This window comes from Homo sapiens, chromosome 19 (assembly GCF_000001405.40).
Source record: "Homo sapiens chromosome 19, GRCh38.p14 Primary Assembly".
Taxonomy (NCBI): Eukaryota; Metazoa; Chordata; class Mammalia; order Primates; family Hominidae; genus Homo; species Homo sapiens.
This window is the reverse complement of record NC_000019.10, coordinates 36,444,689-36,460,743: the sequence shown is the minus strand read 5'-3', so window position 1 is coordinate 36,460,743 and position 16,055 is coordinate 36,444,689. Positions and strand designations below refer to the sequence as shown.

The 16,055-nt window shown below is 38.4% G+C and overlaps 1 protein-coding gene across 11 annotated transcripts in view, besides 1 other annotated feature; it reads left to right on the top strand.

Annotated features, from left to right (window-relative positions):
• The window catches only part of ZNF566 (zinc finger protein 566), a 44,443-nt gene extending 28,818 nt beyond the window's left edge, over positions 1 to 15,625 (top strand). For 10 of the 11 annotated variants that reach the window (NM_001437586.1, NM_001437587.1, NM_001437585.1 and 7 more), the window contains one exon: positions 10,743 to 15,625. In NM_001437586.1, the coding sequence (NP_001424515.1) occupies positions 10,823 to 11,767 (945 nt within the window). In that variant the 5' untranslated portion in view covers positions 10,743 to 10,822 and the 3' untranslated portion in view covers positions 11,768 to 15,625. Of the gene's footprint in view, positions 1 to 4,200; positions 4,317 to 10,742 lie in introns of those variants that run through there. The other variant, XM_047439566.1, reaches the window with a different exon arrangement.
• Positions 10,494 to 11,693: an enhancer, noted in NCBI's record as "P300/CBP strongly-dependent group 1 enhancer chr19:36939953-36941152 (GRCh37/hg19 assembly coordinates)". NCBI's record gives its function as "activates an origin of replication core promoter dependent on BRD2, BRD4, P300/CBP, MED14 and CDK7 cofactors, with strong dependence on P300/CBP, by STARR-seq in HCT116 cells {active_cell/tissue: HCT116}" and the evidence as "EXISTENCE:reporter gene assay evidence [ECO:0000049][PMID:35650434]".
• Positions 15,626 to 16,055: the final 430 nt, after the last annotated feature.

The window sequence follows — 16,055 nt, the reverse complement described above, 5'->3', positions numbered from 1 at the left end:
TCTTTGGGTTTATCCTATTTGGGGTGGCTGAGCTTCTCAAAATGGCTTTGCTTGTTTTATCTTTCACAAAATTTGTAAGTTTTCAGCCATTATTTCTTCAAATCTTTTTTGAGTCCTATACTATCTCTTCTCCTTCTGAAACCCTGATGACACAAATGTTAAATCTTTTCTTGTTCTACATTCCCAGAGGCTATGTTCTTTTTGCATTTTCCATCTTTTTTTCGCTGCTATTCATATTAGCTAATTTCTTTTGAACTATCTTCAAGTTTATTGACTTTATTACCTCCATTCTGCTGTTGAGCCTAGCCAGTGGTTTTTATTTCGGCTACTGCACTTTTCAGTTCTAAAACTTGTTTATTCTTCTTTATATATTCTATTCTTTTGCTGAAACTTTCTATTTTTATATTGGTTTGCAGAGTGTGCATGATTCCTTATTCAAGCATTTTTAAAATAGCTGCTTTAAAGTCATTATCTGATAATTCCAACATGAGTCACCTTTATTTTGGTGTCTGTTGTCTTTTGCCATGTAAGTTAAAATTTTCTTCATTCTTCATATGTTGAGTGATTTTGGATGGTATCCTAAGGCATTCTGAATATTATTCTATGAGACCCTAGGTCTTTCTTTAAATCCTATGAAAGCCAGGCACAGTGGCTTATGCCTGTAATCCCAGCACTTTGGGAGGTCAAGGTGGGCAGATCACTTGAGGTCAGGAGTTCGAGATCAGCCTGGCCAACGTGTTGAAACCTCGTCTTTACTAAAAATACAAAAAAAATAGCTGCGTATGATCTCAGCTACTTGGGAGGCTGAGAGGCAGGAGGATCTCTTGAACCCAGGAGGTGGAAGTTGCAGTGAGCTGAGATCACGCCACTGTACTCTCACCTGGGCAACAGAGCAAGGTTCTGTCTCAAAAAAAAAAAAAAAAAGTAATAGGTGGCCAGGCGCGGTGGCTCACGACTGTAATCCCAGCACTTTGGGAGGCCGAGGCGGGTGGATCACCTGAGGTTGGGGTTCGAGACCAGCCTGGCCAACATGGTGAAACCCCGTCTTTACTAAAAATACAAAAAATTAGCCGGGCGTGGTGGCGCATGCCTGTAATCCCAGCTACTCAGGAGGCTGAGGCAGGAGAATCGCTTGAACCTGGAAGGCAGAGGTTGTGGTGAGCCGAGATCAAGCCATTGCACTCCAGTCTGGGCAACAAGAGCAAAACTGTCTCAAAAAAAAAAAGTAATAGGCTGGGAGCGGTGGCTCACGCCTGTAATCCCAGCACTTTGGGAGGCCCAGGTGGGTGGATCACACGGTCAGGAGTTCAAGACCAGCCTGGCCAAGGTGATGAAACCCCATCTCTACTAAAAATACAAAAATTAGCCAGGCATGGTGTCTCATGCCTGTAATCCCAGTTACTTGGGAGGCTGAGGCAAACACAAAACAAAACAAAAACCTCTTTCCTCATATATATTGCTCAGCAAAAAGGGAACCATCTGAATACTAAGAGTTTTCATCAACCCTGGAAATTTGTTTTATTAGGGTTCTATATCATTGCCATATTTTCCTTCCAGAATTCATATTTGACATTCATTTTATTTCTTACATCAATTTTTCTTCCCTATGACTTATTATTTTCTGTCATCACTTTCATCCTTCTCTGAAAGTTTTTTAAACAATTCATTCCAGCTTTTTCCCTAGCTTTATTGAGGTATATTTGGCAAATAAAAATTATATATATTGGCCAGGCGTGGTGGTGCATGCCTGTAATCCCAGCTACCTGGGAGGCTGAGGCAAGAGAAGCACTTAAACCTAAGAGGCAGAGGTTGCAGTGAGCCAAGATCGCGCCATTGCACTCCAGCCTGGGCGACAAGAGTGAAAACTTTGTCTCAAAAAGAAAAATTATATGTATTTACAGTATACAGTTAGGTATTTTGATATATGTGTATACATTGTGAAATGATTACCATAATCAAGCCAATTAATGTATCTATCACATCACATAGTTACCAATTTGTATATGTGTGTATGTGGTAAGAACATTAAGATCTACTCCCATAATAAATTCCAAGTATACAATACAGTATTATAAACTATAGTTACTATGGTATACGTTCTGTACTGGTATTACCATTAATGGTATGTACTTACATGGCAGTACATACTATTAATATATAATGCTGTATATTAGATCTCCAGAAATTTTTTATTCTGAGTAACTAGAACTTTGTACCCTTTGACCAATATCTTCTTTCCTCCGTCCCCCAACCCCTGGTGACCTCCATTCTACTCTCTTCTTCTATGAGTTCAACGTTTTAGAGTTCATATATAAGTGAGATCACTGCAGTATCTGTCTTTCTGTGCCTGGCTTATTTCACATATGTCCTCCAGCTTCATCTATGTTGTTGAAAATAACAGGATTTTCTTCATTTTTAAGTCTTAATATTCCAGTGTTTGTGTATTTGTATATATACACACACATTCCATTATGTGTGTGTATATGTGTATGTGTGTGTGTATACATATATATGCCCACACATCACATTTTCTTTATCAATTTATCCATTGATTCCATATCTTGGCTATCATGAATGATGCTGCAATGAACATAAGAATGCAGATTTTTTTTCCCCCATACTGATTTGATTTCATTTGGATATATACCCAGAAGTAAGCTTGCTGAGTTATAGGGTAGTTTTGAGAAACCTCCATGCTGTTTTCCATAATGGCTGTTTCAATTTATGCCACCAACAGTGTCCAAGGATTCCCTTTTTGCCACATCCTTTCCAACACTTGTTATTTTTTGTCCTTTTGATAATAGCAGTTCTGACAGGTGTGAGGGGATTTTTGTTTGTTTGTTTATTTTTTTGAGACGGAGTCTCACTCTTGTTGCCCAGGCTGGAGTGCAGTGGTGCAATCTCAGCTCACTGCAACCTCCGCCTCCGGGGTTCAAGCGATTCTCCCACTTCAGCCTCCCAAGTAGCTGAGATTACAAGTGCCCTCCACTAAGCCCACATAATTTTTGTATTTTAGTAGAGATGGGATTTCATCATGTTGGTCAGGCTGGTGTCGAACTCCTGACCTCAAGTGATCCACCCACCTCGGCCTCCCAAAGTGCTGGGATTACAGGCCTGAGCCACAGTAACCAGCAATGAGGTGATATTTCATTGTGGTTTCAATTTCCATTTTCCTGATGATTAGTAATGTTGAGTGTTTTTTCATATACCTATTGGCTGTTTCTATGTCTTCTTTTGAGAAATGCCCATTTTTTAATTGGGTTATTTGTTTTCTTGTTACTGAGTTGAGTTCCTTATACATTTTGGATATTAGCATCTTACCAGATACAAGGTTTGAAAATATTTTATCCCACTCTGTGGATAGTCTCTTCACTCTGTTGTTTCCTTTGCTGTGCAGAAGCTTTTGAGTTTGATGTAATCATATTTTTCTATTTTTTGCTTTTCTTTTCTGTGTTTTTAGTTTTGTGTCTCATGTTTAAGTCTTTAATCCATTTTGAGTTGACTTTCGTATATGTATGCAATAGGAATTCAATTTCATTCTTTTGCATGTGGCTATCCAGTTTCTCATCACCATTTATTGAACTGTCTTTTCCCCATTGTGTGTTCTTGGCATCTTTATTGAAAATCCAATGACCATAAATGCATGGGTTCTGTATGGGTTCTTGGTTCTGTATTCTGTTCCATTGGTTGATGTGTCTATTTTTATGCCAGTGCCGTGCTGTTTTGATTACTGCAGCTTTGTAATCTATTTTGAAATCTATCGGATGTAGTGATGCCTCCAGCTTTGTTCTTCTTGTTCAAGATTACCTTGACTCTTCAGGGTCTTTTATGGTTCCATATGAATTTTAGGATTGTTTTTGCTATTTGTGTGAAAATACCTTTGGAATTTTGTTAGGGATTCCACTGAATGTGTAGATTGCTTTGGGTAGTATGGACATTTTAACAATATTAATTCTTCCCATTTATGAATGCAGAATATCTTTTCATTTATTTTTGTCTTCATTTATTTTTTATTATACTTTAAGTTCTGGGATACATGTGCAGATTGTGCAGGCTTGTTACATAGGTATACACATGCCATGGTGGTTTGCTGCACCCATCACCCCATCATCTACATTAGGTATTTCTTCTAATCCTATCCCTCCCCTAGCTCCCCACCCCCCTTTTTTATTTAATGCAATTTTTTTTTTTTAGATGGAGTCTCACTCTGTTGCTCATGCTGGAGTGCAGTGGTGTGATCTCAGCTCACTGCAATCTACGCCTCCCGGGTTCAAGCAATTCTTCTGCCTCAGCCTCCCGAGTATCTGGGACTACAGGTGCATGCTGCCACGCCCGGCTAATTTTTTTTTTTTTTTTTTTTTTTGTATTTTAGTAGAGATGGGGCTTCACTGTGTTACCCAGGCTGGTCTTGAACTCCTGAGCTCAGGCAATCCACCTGCCTCGGCCTTCCAAAGTGCTATGATTACAGGCGTGAGCCACCATGCCTGGCGTGTCTTCATTTTTTTCATCAGTGTTTTATAGTTTTCCATATACAGATTTCCTTTGTTAAATTTTTTCCTAAGTATTTTATTCTTTTTGATGTTATTATACATGGGATTGTCTTCTTGATTTCTTTTTCTGATAATCTGTTGCTAGTGTATAGAAACAACCGATTTTTGTATCTTACTGAATACACATACATTTATTACTTTTTTTTTTCTTTTTTGAGATGGAGTCTCGCTCTGTCACCCAGTCTGGAGTGCAGTGGTGCAATCTCGGCTCACTGCAAGCTCGGCCTCCCGGGTTCACGCCATTCTCCTGCCTCAGTCTCCCTAGTAGTTGGGACTATAGGCGCCCACCACCATGCCTGGCTAATTTTTTGTATTTTTAGTAGAGAGAGGTTTCACCGTGTTAGCCAGGATGGTCTCGATCTCCTGACATCATGATCCGCCCACCTTGGCCTCCCAAAGTGCTGGGATTACAGGCATAAGCCACTGCATGAGGCCTTATTACTTCTTTTTTTTTGAGACAGAGTCTCGCTCTGTCACCCAGGCTGGAGTGCAGTGGCATGATCTTGGCTCGCTGCAACCTCCATCTCCTGGGTTCAAGCGATTCTCGTGCCTCAGCCTCCTGAGTAACTGGGATTACAGGTGCCCACCATTGCCCGGCTAATTTTTGTATTTTTAGTAGAGACGGGATGTTGCCATGTTGGCCCGGCTGGTCTCAAACTCCTGACCTCAAGTAATCTGCCCGCCTCGGCCTCCCAAAGTGCGGGAATTACAGGTGGGAGCACACTGAGTTGCAAATAAATAACATTTATTACTTCTAACAGTTTTATGGTAGATCCCCTAGGGTTTTTTTGAATTTGGATGCCTTTTATTCCTTTTTATTGCCTAAAAGGAATGAAAAGGACTTTTGGTACTATGTTGAGCAGAGTGTCAAGAGTGGACATCCTTGTCTTGTTTCTGATCTTAGGGGAAAAACCTTTATCTTTCCAATGTTGAGGATAATGTTAGCTATAGGTTTGTCATATATGGCCTTTATTATTTTGAAGTAAATTCCTTGTACACCTAATTTGTTGAGAGAGTTTTGATTATGAAAGTATGTTGAATTTTGTAAGATGACTTTCCTATATCTACTGAAATGATCATATGGTTTTAGGATGTGGTGTATCACATTGATTGCTTTGCTTATATTGAAACATCCCTGCATCCTAGGAATAAATCTCACTTGATCATGTTGCATGATCCTTTTAATGTGCTGTTGAATTCCATTTGCTAGTATTTTGTTGAGGATTTTTGTATCTGTGTTCATCAGGGATATTGGCCTGTAATTTTCTTGTAGATTTTTTGTCTGGTTTTGGTATCAGGGTAATACTATCCTCATAAAATGAGTTTGGAAGTGTTCCGTCTTCAACATTTTGGAAGAGTTTGAGGAGAACTGGAGTTAATTCTTCTTTAAGTGTTTGATAGAATTTACTAGTGAAGCCATCAAGTCTTTGTCTTTTATTTGTTGGGAGGTTTTTGATTACTGATGGAACTATCCTACTCATAATTGGTCTGTTCAGATTTTCTCTTTCTTCATGATTCAGGTTTGGTAGTTTTGTTTCTAGGAATTTATCCATTTTTTTCCTAGTTTATCCAATTTGTTGGCATATAATTATTCATAGTAGTCTCTTATGATTCTTCTTTTGTGTTGTTGTTGTTGTTTTAAAGATGAGGTCTCCCTCTATTGCCCAGGCTAGAGTATAGTGGCATGACCATAACTCACTGCAGTTTTGAACTCCTGGGCTCAGGCAATCTTCCTGCCTCAGCCTCTCAAGTTACTGGGGCTATAGTCATGCACCCCTCTGCCGAGCTAATCCTGACTGTTTTATAGTGTCTTTGTTCCTATCTCACTCTTTCTTTTTGATTTGATTTTTTTATGGTGGTATGATTTGATGTCTTTCTCTTTGTCTTCAGTGTATCTACTAGAGAGTTTTTCTCTGTGGTTACCATAAGGCTTACATATTTAAAACATCTCATAGTTATAACAGTCTATTGTAAGTTAATAATAACTTAACTTTAGGCTGGGTATGGTGGCTCACACCTGTATTCCCAGCACTTTGGGAGGCTGAGGTGGGAGGATAGCTTGAGCCCAGGAGTTTGAGACCAGCCTGAGCAACATAGTGAGACCCTGTCTCTACCGAAATGTTTAAGGATCACTTGAGGTCAGGAGTTGGAAACCAGTCTGGCCAACATGATGAAACTTTGTCTCTACTAAAAATACAAAAAATTAGCCAGGTGTGGTGGCAGGTGCCTGTAATCCCAGCTACTTGGGAGGCTGAGGCAGGAGAATCACTTGAACCTGGGAGGCAGAGGTTGCAGCAAACCGAGATTGTGCCACCGCACTCCAGCCTGGGAGACAGAGCAAGAATCTGTCTCAAAAAAAGATTAACCAGGTGTGGTGGCACATGTCTAGTTTCAGCTACTCAGGAGGTTGAGGTAGGAGGATCCCTTGAGCCCAGGAGGTTGAGGCTACAGTGAGGACTGTGGCCTGGGCTACAGAGCAAGACCCTGTTTCTCAAAAATATAATAATAATAGTAATAATAATAATAATAGCTTAACTTTGACCACATACAAAAAGTCTACACTTTAACTTCTCCACCCACATTACATTATTGATGTTACAATGTACATCTTTTATATATTGTGTATCTATTAGCAAATGATTGTAGGTTTATTTATTTTTATTTTTATTTTATTTTAATTAATTAATTTATTTATTTATTTATTTATTTATTTATTTATTTGAGATAGAGTCTCACACTGTCACCCAGGCTGGAGTGCAGTGGCGCGATCTCGGCTCACTGCAACCTCTGCCTCCTGGGTTCAAGTGATTCTCCTGCCTCAGCCTCCTGAGTAGCCGGGAGTACAGGCGTACACCACCACAGCCAGCTAACTTTTGTATTTTTAGTAGAGACAGGGTTTCACAATGTTGGCCAGGATGGTCTCAATCTCTTGACCTCGTGATCTGCACACCTCGGCCTCCCAAAGTCCTGAGATTACACATGTGAGCCACCAGCGCCCCGCCAGTTTATTTATTTTTAGTACCTTTGTCTTTTAACTTTTTTTTTGTTTGTTTTTTTGTTTTTTTGTTTTTTTTTTGAGACAGAGTCTTGCTCTGTTGCCCAGGCTGGAGTACAGTGGCAAGATTTCAGCTCACTGCAACCTCCACCTCCCGGGTTCAAGCAGTTCTCCTGCCTCACCCTGCTGAGTAGCTGGGATTACAGGCACACGCCACCATACCCAGCTAATTTTTATATTTTTAGTAGAGACAGGGTTTCACCATATTGGGCAGGCTGGTCTCGAACTCCTGACCTAGTGATCTGCCCGCTTTGGCCTCCCAAAGTGCTAGGATTACAGGTGTGAGCCACCGTGCCCAGCCTTGTCTTCTAACTTTTATACTAGAGTTAAAAGTGATTTATACACTATTATTACATTATCAGAGTGTTCTCAATATAACTATATTCCTGCCTTTACAGTGAGTTTTATATTTTTATATTGTTAGTGTCCTTTTCTTTCTACTTGAAGAACTCTTTTTGATGTTTCTTACAAGTTAAATCTAGTGTTGATTTCCTCTCACGTCTTTTGTTTGTTTAGGATTCAGTGATCAGATTAAATGCCTTATAGCTATCAGAGAAAGATTGCATGATGTACGTTTTTACCATATGATCTAGTATGATTTCAAACTATCTTCCCTACTTAATTCATAACACTATTCCACTAAAATATTGAGTACCTACTAGTGTCATACACTTGACAGATTTACAGATGATAAAAACAATATTCATTGAGGTTTCATAATTTGGTTATGCCTCTCAGCTAGTTAAAAAGTCTGGAATTCAGACCTCTTTTACAACCCTAAAGCCTTCAGTTTTCTCAACCACCTTGCTATACTCATTTTTTCTTTTCATCATATCTCATTCCGTAGTCATTTCTTTCTCTATGGGTAACTGATAAGAATACTAGATGAGATCCTGTCCCTCTGTAACCAGACCAAATTATTTCTTGTAAAAATTTATTTGTATTACATGTATATTATAATAGTTTACAAAGCTGTACCTTCCTTACCCCTCCATTTCCTTGTCTAAGAGTCAGTGACTTTCAAGTCTTCTAACTATTCTCCCTTTTTTTTTTTTAACGAGTCAAGGGGTCGGGCCTAATGTCCCCATTTTTGTATGGAAATTCTTTTTTTTGTTGTTTGTTTGTTTTTTTTGAGATGGAGTCTCGCTCTGTTCCCTAGGCTGGAGTGCAGTGGTGTGATCTTGGCTCACTGCAATCTCCACCTCCTGGGTTCAAGCAATTCTTCTGCCTCAGCCTCCTGAGTAGCTGGGATTACAGTGCATGTGCTACCACACCCGGCTAATTTTTGTATTTTTAGTAGAGATAGGGTTTCACCATGTTGGTCAGGCTGGTCTCAAACTCCTGACCTCGTGATCGGCCCGCCTCGGCCCCGCAGAGTGCTGGGATTACAGGCGTGAGCCACTGTGCCTGGCAGAAATTCTTCCATAGTATTTACAAACATTAATCCCAATCCTCACAACAGTTGTAAGGGCTATCATTCCTATTGTATTAGACAGAGAACTGCAGGTTTGGAAGGTTGAACTAATTTGCCCAAGAAAACAAAGCTTATAATTATTCAAGTTTGAGTATAAAACGCATGTAACTGAATCTAGTATCTCTGATCTGTCAGTACCATACACTGCCTTCCATTTTACTCTCTCCCCTTCTCTTGAACCTACAAATGTCTTTTCTGCCAGTCAGTCATTACTACTATAGTGATCATGTACTTGTTAAGTCCCCTCTTCTCTTTAACAAAGGTCAGCATCTCAGAATTACACGACAAACACTATTTTCATCAAACCCCAAACATATACCATATCTGTCCACAAATGAGTCCTATCTACCACTCATACTATGTTCATTCCACACTTGACTTTTCTTAAGCTAGGCTTTTTTCTGGATTGTCACCCTCTAGTTCCTTATCATTTTTTAAAGTGCTCTGGCCCTCCTGTTACAGAATCCAGACCAGGGCTATCCAAGAGAACATTCAGTGGTGATGGAAATGTTTTATATTTGTGATATTTCGTACAGACTTCCAGTACAAAAGCTACCAGCCACATTTGGCTGTTGAACATTGGAAATGTGAATAATGTGACTGAGAAACTGAATTTTCAAATTCAGCTGTTTATTTCAAAATGAAATGCACATTTTACTTAAATTATTTGAAATTTTAAAAGCCACATGTAGCTAGCGGCTACTGTATTAGACGATGCATATCTAACCAGGGGCTGGCAAACTTTTTCTTGAAAGGCAAATAGTAAGTATTTTAGGTTTGCAGTTCACACATTCTCTATCATAACTACTCACTTCTGCCCTTTTAGCGCAAAAGCATCCATAGACAATACGTAACAAGTATGGCTAATAAAACTTCATTTATAAAAATGGGTGCAGGGCCATAGGCCATAGTTTACTGATCTCTGGGAATTTTCCATTAGGCATATTCATTTCATCCGACAATAGCCCTGTTAACAGTGTGATCATTCCTTTATTTATTTATTTATTTATTTATCTATCTATTGAGACAGTGACTCACTCTGTTGCCCAGGCTGGAGTGCAGTGGCAATCTCGGCTCACTGCAACCTCTGCCTCCCGGGTTCAAGCAATTCTCGTGCCTCGGCCTCCCCAGTAGCTGGGATTACAGGCACACACCACCATGCCCCACTAGATTTTTATATTTTTAGTAGAGACAGGTTTCACCATGTTAGCCAGGCTGATCTCAAACTCCTGACCAAGTGATCTGCCTGCCTCACCCGCCCAAGGTGCTGGGATTACAGATGTGAGCCACCATGCCTGGCCATTTCCCTTATTTTATAATTCATACTATGAGATGCTATTATATGTCTGTGTGTATATATGCAATGAGATATTTTGTGTGTGTATGATTAGAGTCATCCTTTAACAAGGGAGATAGGACTAAAGCATGTGTATATTTAGCAGGCTTCCCAAAGTAATTCTGATCTATAGCAATGTTTGGGAACCAGTGACTTACTTTGTTTTCCTAATCACTACCCTCATCTTATTATGTAACCTGTCTTCTAACTCTCTTTTTTCCTCATCCATTTGTAAAAAAAATTCGGTTAAATTCTCCCATATTGATTGAAGTTTTGTTTCTCCCAAACAAGAAAAATGTGAGTGATTACTTTCATATTTTCTTTCAGTCCTGGAATCAAGATGTGAGACCAAGAAATTATTTCTGAAGAAAGAAATTTATGAAATAGAATCAACCCAGTGGGAAATAATGGAAAAACTCACAAGACGTGATTTTCAGTGCTCCAGTTTCAGAGATGATTGGGAATGTAATCGGCAGTTTAAGAAAGAACTCGGCTCTCAGGGGGGACATTTCAATCAATTGGTATTCACTCATGAAGATCTGCCCACTTTGAGTCACCATCCATCCTTCACATTACAGCAAATCATTAACAGTAAAAAGAAATTCTGTGCATCTAAAGAATATAGGAAAACCTTTAGACATGGCTCACAGTTTGCTACACATGAGATAATTCATACCATTGAGAAGCCTTATGAATGTAAGGAATGTGGAAAGTCCTTTAGACATCCCTCAAGACTCACTCATCATCAGAAAATTCATACTGGCAAGAAACCCTTTGAATGTAAGGAATGTGGAAAAACCTTTATTTGTGGCTCAGACCTTACTCGACATCACAGAATTCACACTGGTGAGAAACCCTATGAATGTAAGGAATGTGGGAAAGCCTTTAGTAGTGGTTCAAACTTCACTCGACATCAGAGAATTCACACAGGTGAGAAGCCTTATGAATGCAAAGAATGCGGGAAGGCCTTTAGTAGTGGCTCAAACTTTACTCAACATCAGAGAATTCATACTGGGGAAAAACCCTATGAATGTAAGGAATGTGGCAATGCCTTTAGTCAGAGCTCACAACTTATTAAACATCAAAGAATCCATACAGGTGAGAAACCTTACGAATGTAAGGAATGTGAAAAGGCTTTTCGTTCTGGCTCAGACCTTACTAGACATCAGAGAATTCATACTGGGGAGAAACCCTATGAATGTAAGATATGTGGGAAGGCTTATTCTCAGAGTTCACAGCTTATTAGTCATCATAGAATTCATACTAGTGAGAAACCCTATGAATATAGGGAATGTGGAAAGAACTTTAATTATGACCCACAACTTATTCAGCATCAAAATTTGTACTGGTGATGAAACAGAATATATGAAATGTGTAGGGAGGCTTTTAATTATGGCTCAAAACAGAATTTATCTTGTTAATAATTCCTCTAGATAGAATAATGTAGAAACATTTTATTTGTGGACTACAGCTTATTCAGCCTGGGAAAAATAATGTTGGAGAAATACTCTATGAATAGAATATACTTTGGAAGCCCTTAACTAAACGCTTACTTCTCTTGACATCAGATAATTCAGTCTAGCAATATGATAGATAATTCAGTCTGTCATACTGAAAATGACAGCACTTTTAACACCTTTCTAACCTTCTTAACGTCAGAGAATTTTTGTAGAAATGTAGTCCTGTGATTGTCATTTTTTCCCCTAATTTCTCTAATTGTTACATTCTTAGTATTTTAATCCATATTAAATTTATATGGCTATAAATTTCATCTGTTTACATCCTGATTTGTATACTATTTTAAAAATACCTTTAGTACCTGGGAGAAGTGACCTCTTTATTTTTGAAGATGGCTTATTCTTTTTGTTCTTTATAACATTAAGGCTTTCTTATTGTAAAAATGTTCATGAACGACATTTTACTCAATAGAGATTCTTCATTATCTTCATGGTGTTTTGTTGTGTTACTGTAATATCACTTATGAAATCCTATTGGTGGATATCGTAGTCTCCTCTAGATATTTTGCCATAATACATGCCAAAATACAAGTCCCTGCTGGACATTCTCCCTAAGCACATCTTTGTATCATATCTTTTAATTGCAGAAGTAATGTGTGAATATATTTTCCTTATAAAAGATGCAAACATTACAAAAAGGCAAATGTACCCTTTGACCATATCCCAAAGGATAGTCTTTATCAGTTCATTATTTATTGCTGATCATTTTTCTGTTCATATATACATGCGTGTCTCAGTAAAAATTATAAAATGGGGGATAATTATAATACCTACCTCATAATGCTTTGTGAGGATTAAATGAATTAAGATCGATAAAGTGCTTAGAATTGTGCCTGACATGATAAATACATACTCACTGAATGTTAGTCATCGTTATTATATTCATCATCATCAGTATTATTATTTGTAGAAAGGCTTTTTAACTTCTGCAGAACTTAGTCACCATTAGGCAGGGTGTTTGACTGAAGAAAGACCCTTTGAAGGTAACAAGTTAAGAAAATTTCCCATCATCATGTACTTACTATTGAACATGAAATAATCCTAGGTGTTGGGGGGGAAAGTACTGTGAATAATGTGTGTGAAGGACTTTATTCCGACTAATACTCTTTTTGTCGCATTATATACCCAGTAAAAAAGAAAAGAGAACATAAGCAAAATATTGGTGCACTAATGAGGAAAAAAAGTATGAAAAGAGAAACAGCATCATATTTAAAAAATGGACAGAGATAGAAACATAGTTACAGATTTAAAAGGTTCTGTTGAATATTATGCTTTTTTCTAATATGTTTGAAAATTTAAACAAAATGGTTTTTAAGGAAAATATACATCAATATTGACTCCAAGAAAATTAGGACTCTTCAAAGACTCTCATAAACACAGAGAACAGGGAAAAATTAGCATGTGATCAGTTAACTATTACTAATGAAGCACCAAATCCAGTTTCTTTCTAAGGAAAACTTTATCAAATGTTCAAGGAACTATTTCAGTTATATAGAAGTACACATCTTGGCTCACGCCTGTAATCCCAGCACTTTGGGAGGCTGAGATGGAAGGATCATTTGAGGCCAGGAGCTTGAGACCAGCCTGGCCAACATGTTGAAACCCCATTTTTACTCAAAAATACAAAACTTAGCCAGGCATGGTGGCACATGCCTGTAATCCCAGCTACTGGGGAGGCTGAGGCAGGAGAATCACTTGAATGCAGGAGGTGGAGGTTGCAGTGAGCCAAGATCACGCCATGGCACTTCAGCCTGAGCGACAGAATGAGACTATTAAAAAAAAAAAAAAAAAGTCCACAGTGTAGCTTTGTTTGGGGTTAAGTTAGTGTTTTGAAATGGGCCTTCCCTGTGCTCAAAACATGCTCAGCAAGCAGCTCCCCACGCTGGACAGATCGCATATGTGGAAGGATGAAGTTTATGTCTGTAGAACTGTTATTTTATGCCCCACTTCCTTTTTTCTTAGATCCTGTGTAGACGGGTCTCTCTGAACATTGTGTTACTTTACTTTACTGGCATAAGGAAGTAAAATATTTCATAATAAATTTGAGAAAAGTAGAGTGAGCAAAAATACCTGCAAATGAGAGAATTACTAAAAATGGACTGTTGTAATGTTTTGCGTTATCAAAATGAAAACTGCCAAATGAGATTTTGTTTACTTTCTTTTCTTGTGTGCTTATGTCTTTTATAAAGTTCTTCATCTAAAATTATAGAGATAGTGCATTTGCACCCAAATTAATGAAACAATACCATTAAAGAGAAAGAAAAGGGGCTGGGCACAGTGGCTTACGCCTGTAATCCCAGTGCTTTGGGAGGCCAAGGCAGGGGGCAGCCTGGCCAATATAGTGAAACCCCATCTCTACTAAAAATACAAAAATTAGCTGGGCGTGGTGGCATGTGCCTGTAGTCCCAGCTGCTCGGAAGGCTGAGGCAGGAGAATCGCTTGAACCCGGGAGGCGGAGGTTGCAGTGAGCTGAGATCCTGACTGCACTCCAGCCTGCATGACAGAGTCTCAAAAAATCTGTCTCAAAAAAAAAAAAAAAAAAGAAAGAAAAAATGATTATCTTTGCCCTTCTCCGTTCCTCATTCCCTCCCCTCTGTCAATTTTCTTCTGAATAATATTTAAAGGTTGTGTATATTACCCATATATTTCTTCATGCTAAAACATTAACACACAATTATTTTATTATGTTTTTACAGAAAAATGGATAACTATACATTTCCCTGAAATTTGCTTTTTTACATTCAACTGTACATTTTGGATTTTCCTTCAATAGATGATGATCTAACAGTCTTTCTGATGGTTACAGTATGTTCCACAGTGTTATTTACCAATGCCTTTTCAACCACTTTCCCAATTGTGATATTATGGATTGTTTGCGCTTTTTTGCCATCTAAAAGTAATGCTGCAACAAACACTTTGTATTCTTGTCTGTTTTATTTCTATAAAATAAGCTTCCCAAGTCATTTCCAGTGTTTTTGCTTTGTTTTGTTTTGAGACAGAGTTTCACTCTTGTTTCCCAGGCTGGAGTGCAATGGCGCAATCTTGGCTTACTGCAATCTCCGCCTCCCGGGTTCAAGAGATTCTCCTGCCTCAGCCTCCCAAGTAGCTGGGGTTACAGGTATATGCCACTACGCCTGGAAAATTTTGTATTTTTAGTAGAGACGGCATTTTTCCATGTTGGTCAGGCTGGTCTCGAACTCCTGACCTCAGGTGATCCACCCTCCTCGGCCTCCCAAAGTGCTGGCATTATAGGCATGAGCCACCGCACCCGGCGTCATTTCCAGTGTTTTCTATGTTTCCTAGGAAGGTTTTGCTTCTGGAAGATTTCAGAGGGCAAGAGAATAAAGGAGTGGAGTGCAGTTTTTCATATATGTGATTCTGTGAGTGTGTATACACAGAGATTTAATATTTTAATACATCAGGAATTGATTATACGATCTAATGCAGGATGTCAGACTTGTTTCTATCCAGGAATAAAACCAGTTATGCCAGAAGTAACTATTATTCACCTTTCTCCTACTGAATTAAAATACTATCAGTTGTATATTAAATGCTCACATCTATTTCTGTTCTCCATATTCTAGCAATCCTTGACACTTTTCAATAGCTTTTATTACTTGGAAATAAAGATGTATGTATATATTATTAATATATAGTTTATTATTTGGAAATAAAGATGTTTCTTCATGAGAATTTTTGACTCATTTATTTTCCAATGAAAACCCCATTAGGATTATATTTTGAATTTCATTCAGTTTAAATGCAGAGTATCCTACATGAATAAACAATTGACACTGAATGGAATTCATTAACACATCTTGAGGTTTCTTTTATAACTCTTCATCCTCTTGACTCTCTAATATCTAATAATAACACCATCTACTGTGATGTCTCACAATACTTAAAATATGCTAGTAATACCTGAAAATTTATTAGAGTTCTGCTTATAAGGTGATAGATTCTTTTGGGCTCTATAGTTATATAATCTGCAGATAAAGGTGACATACCTATCTCACAATATTTTTTATATCTATTTTATTTTATTTTATTTGAGACGGAGTCTCCCTCTGTCGCCAGGCCGGAGTGCCGTGGCGCGATCTTGGCTCACTGCAACCTCTGCCTC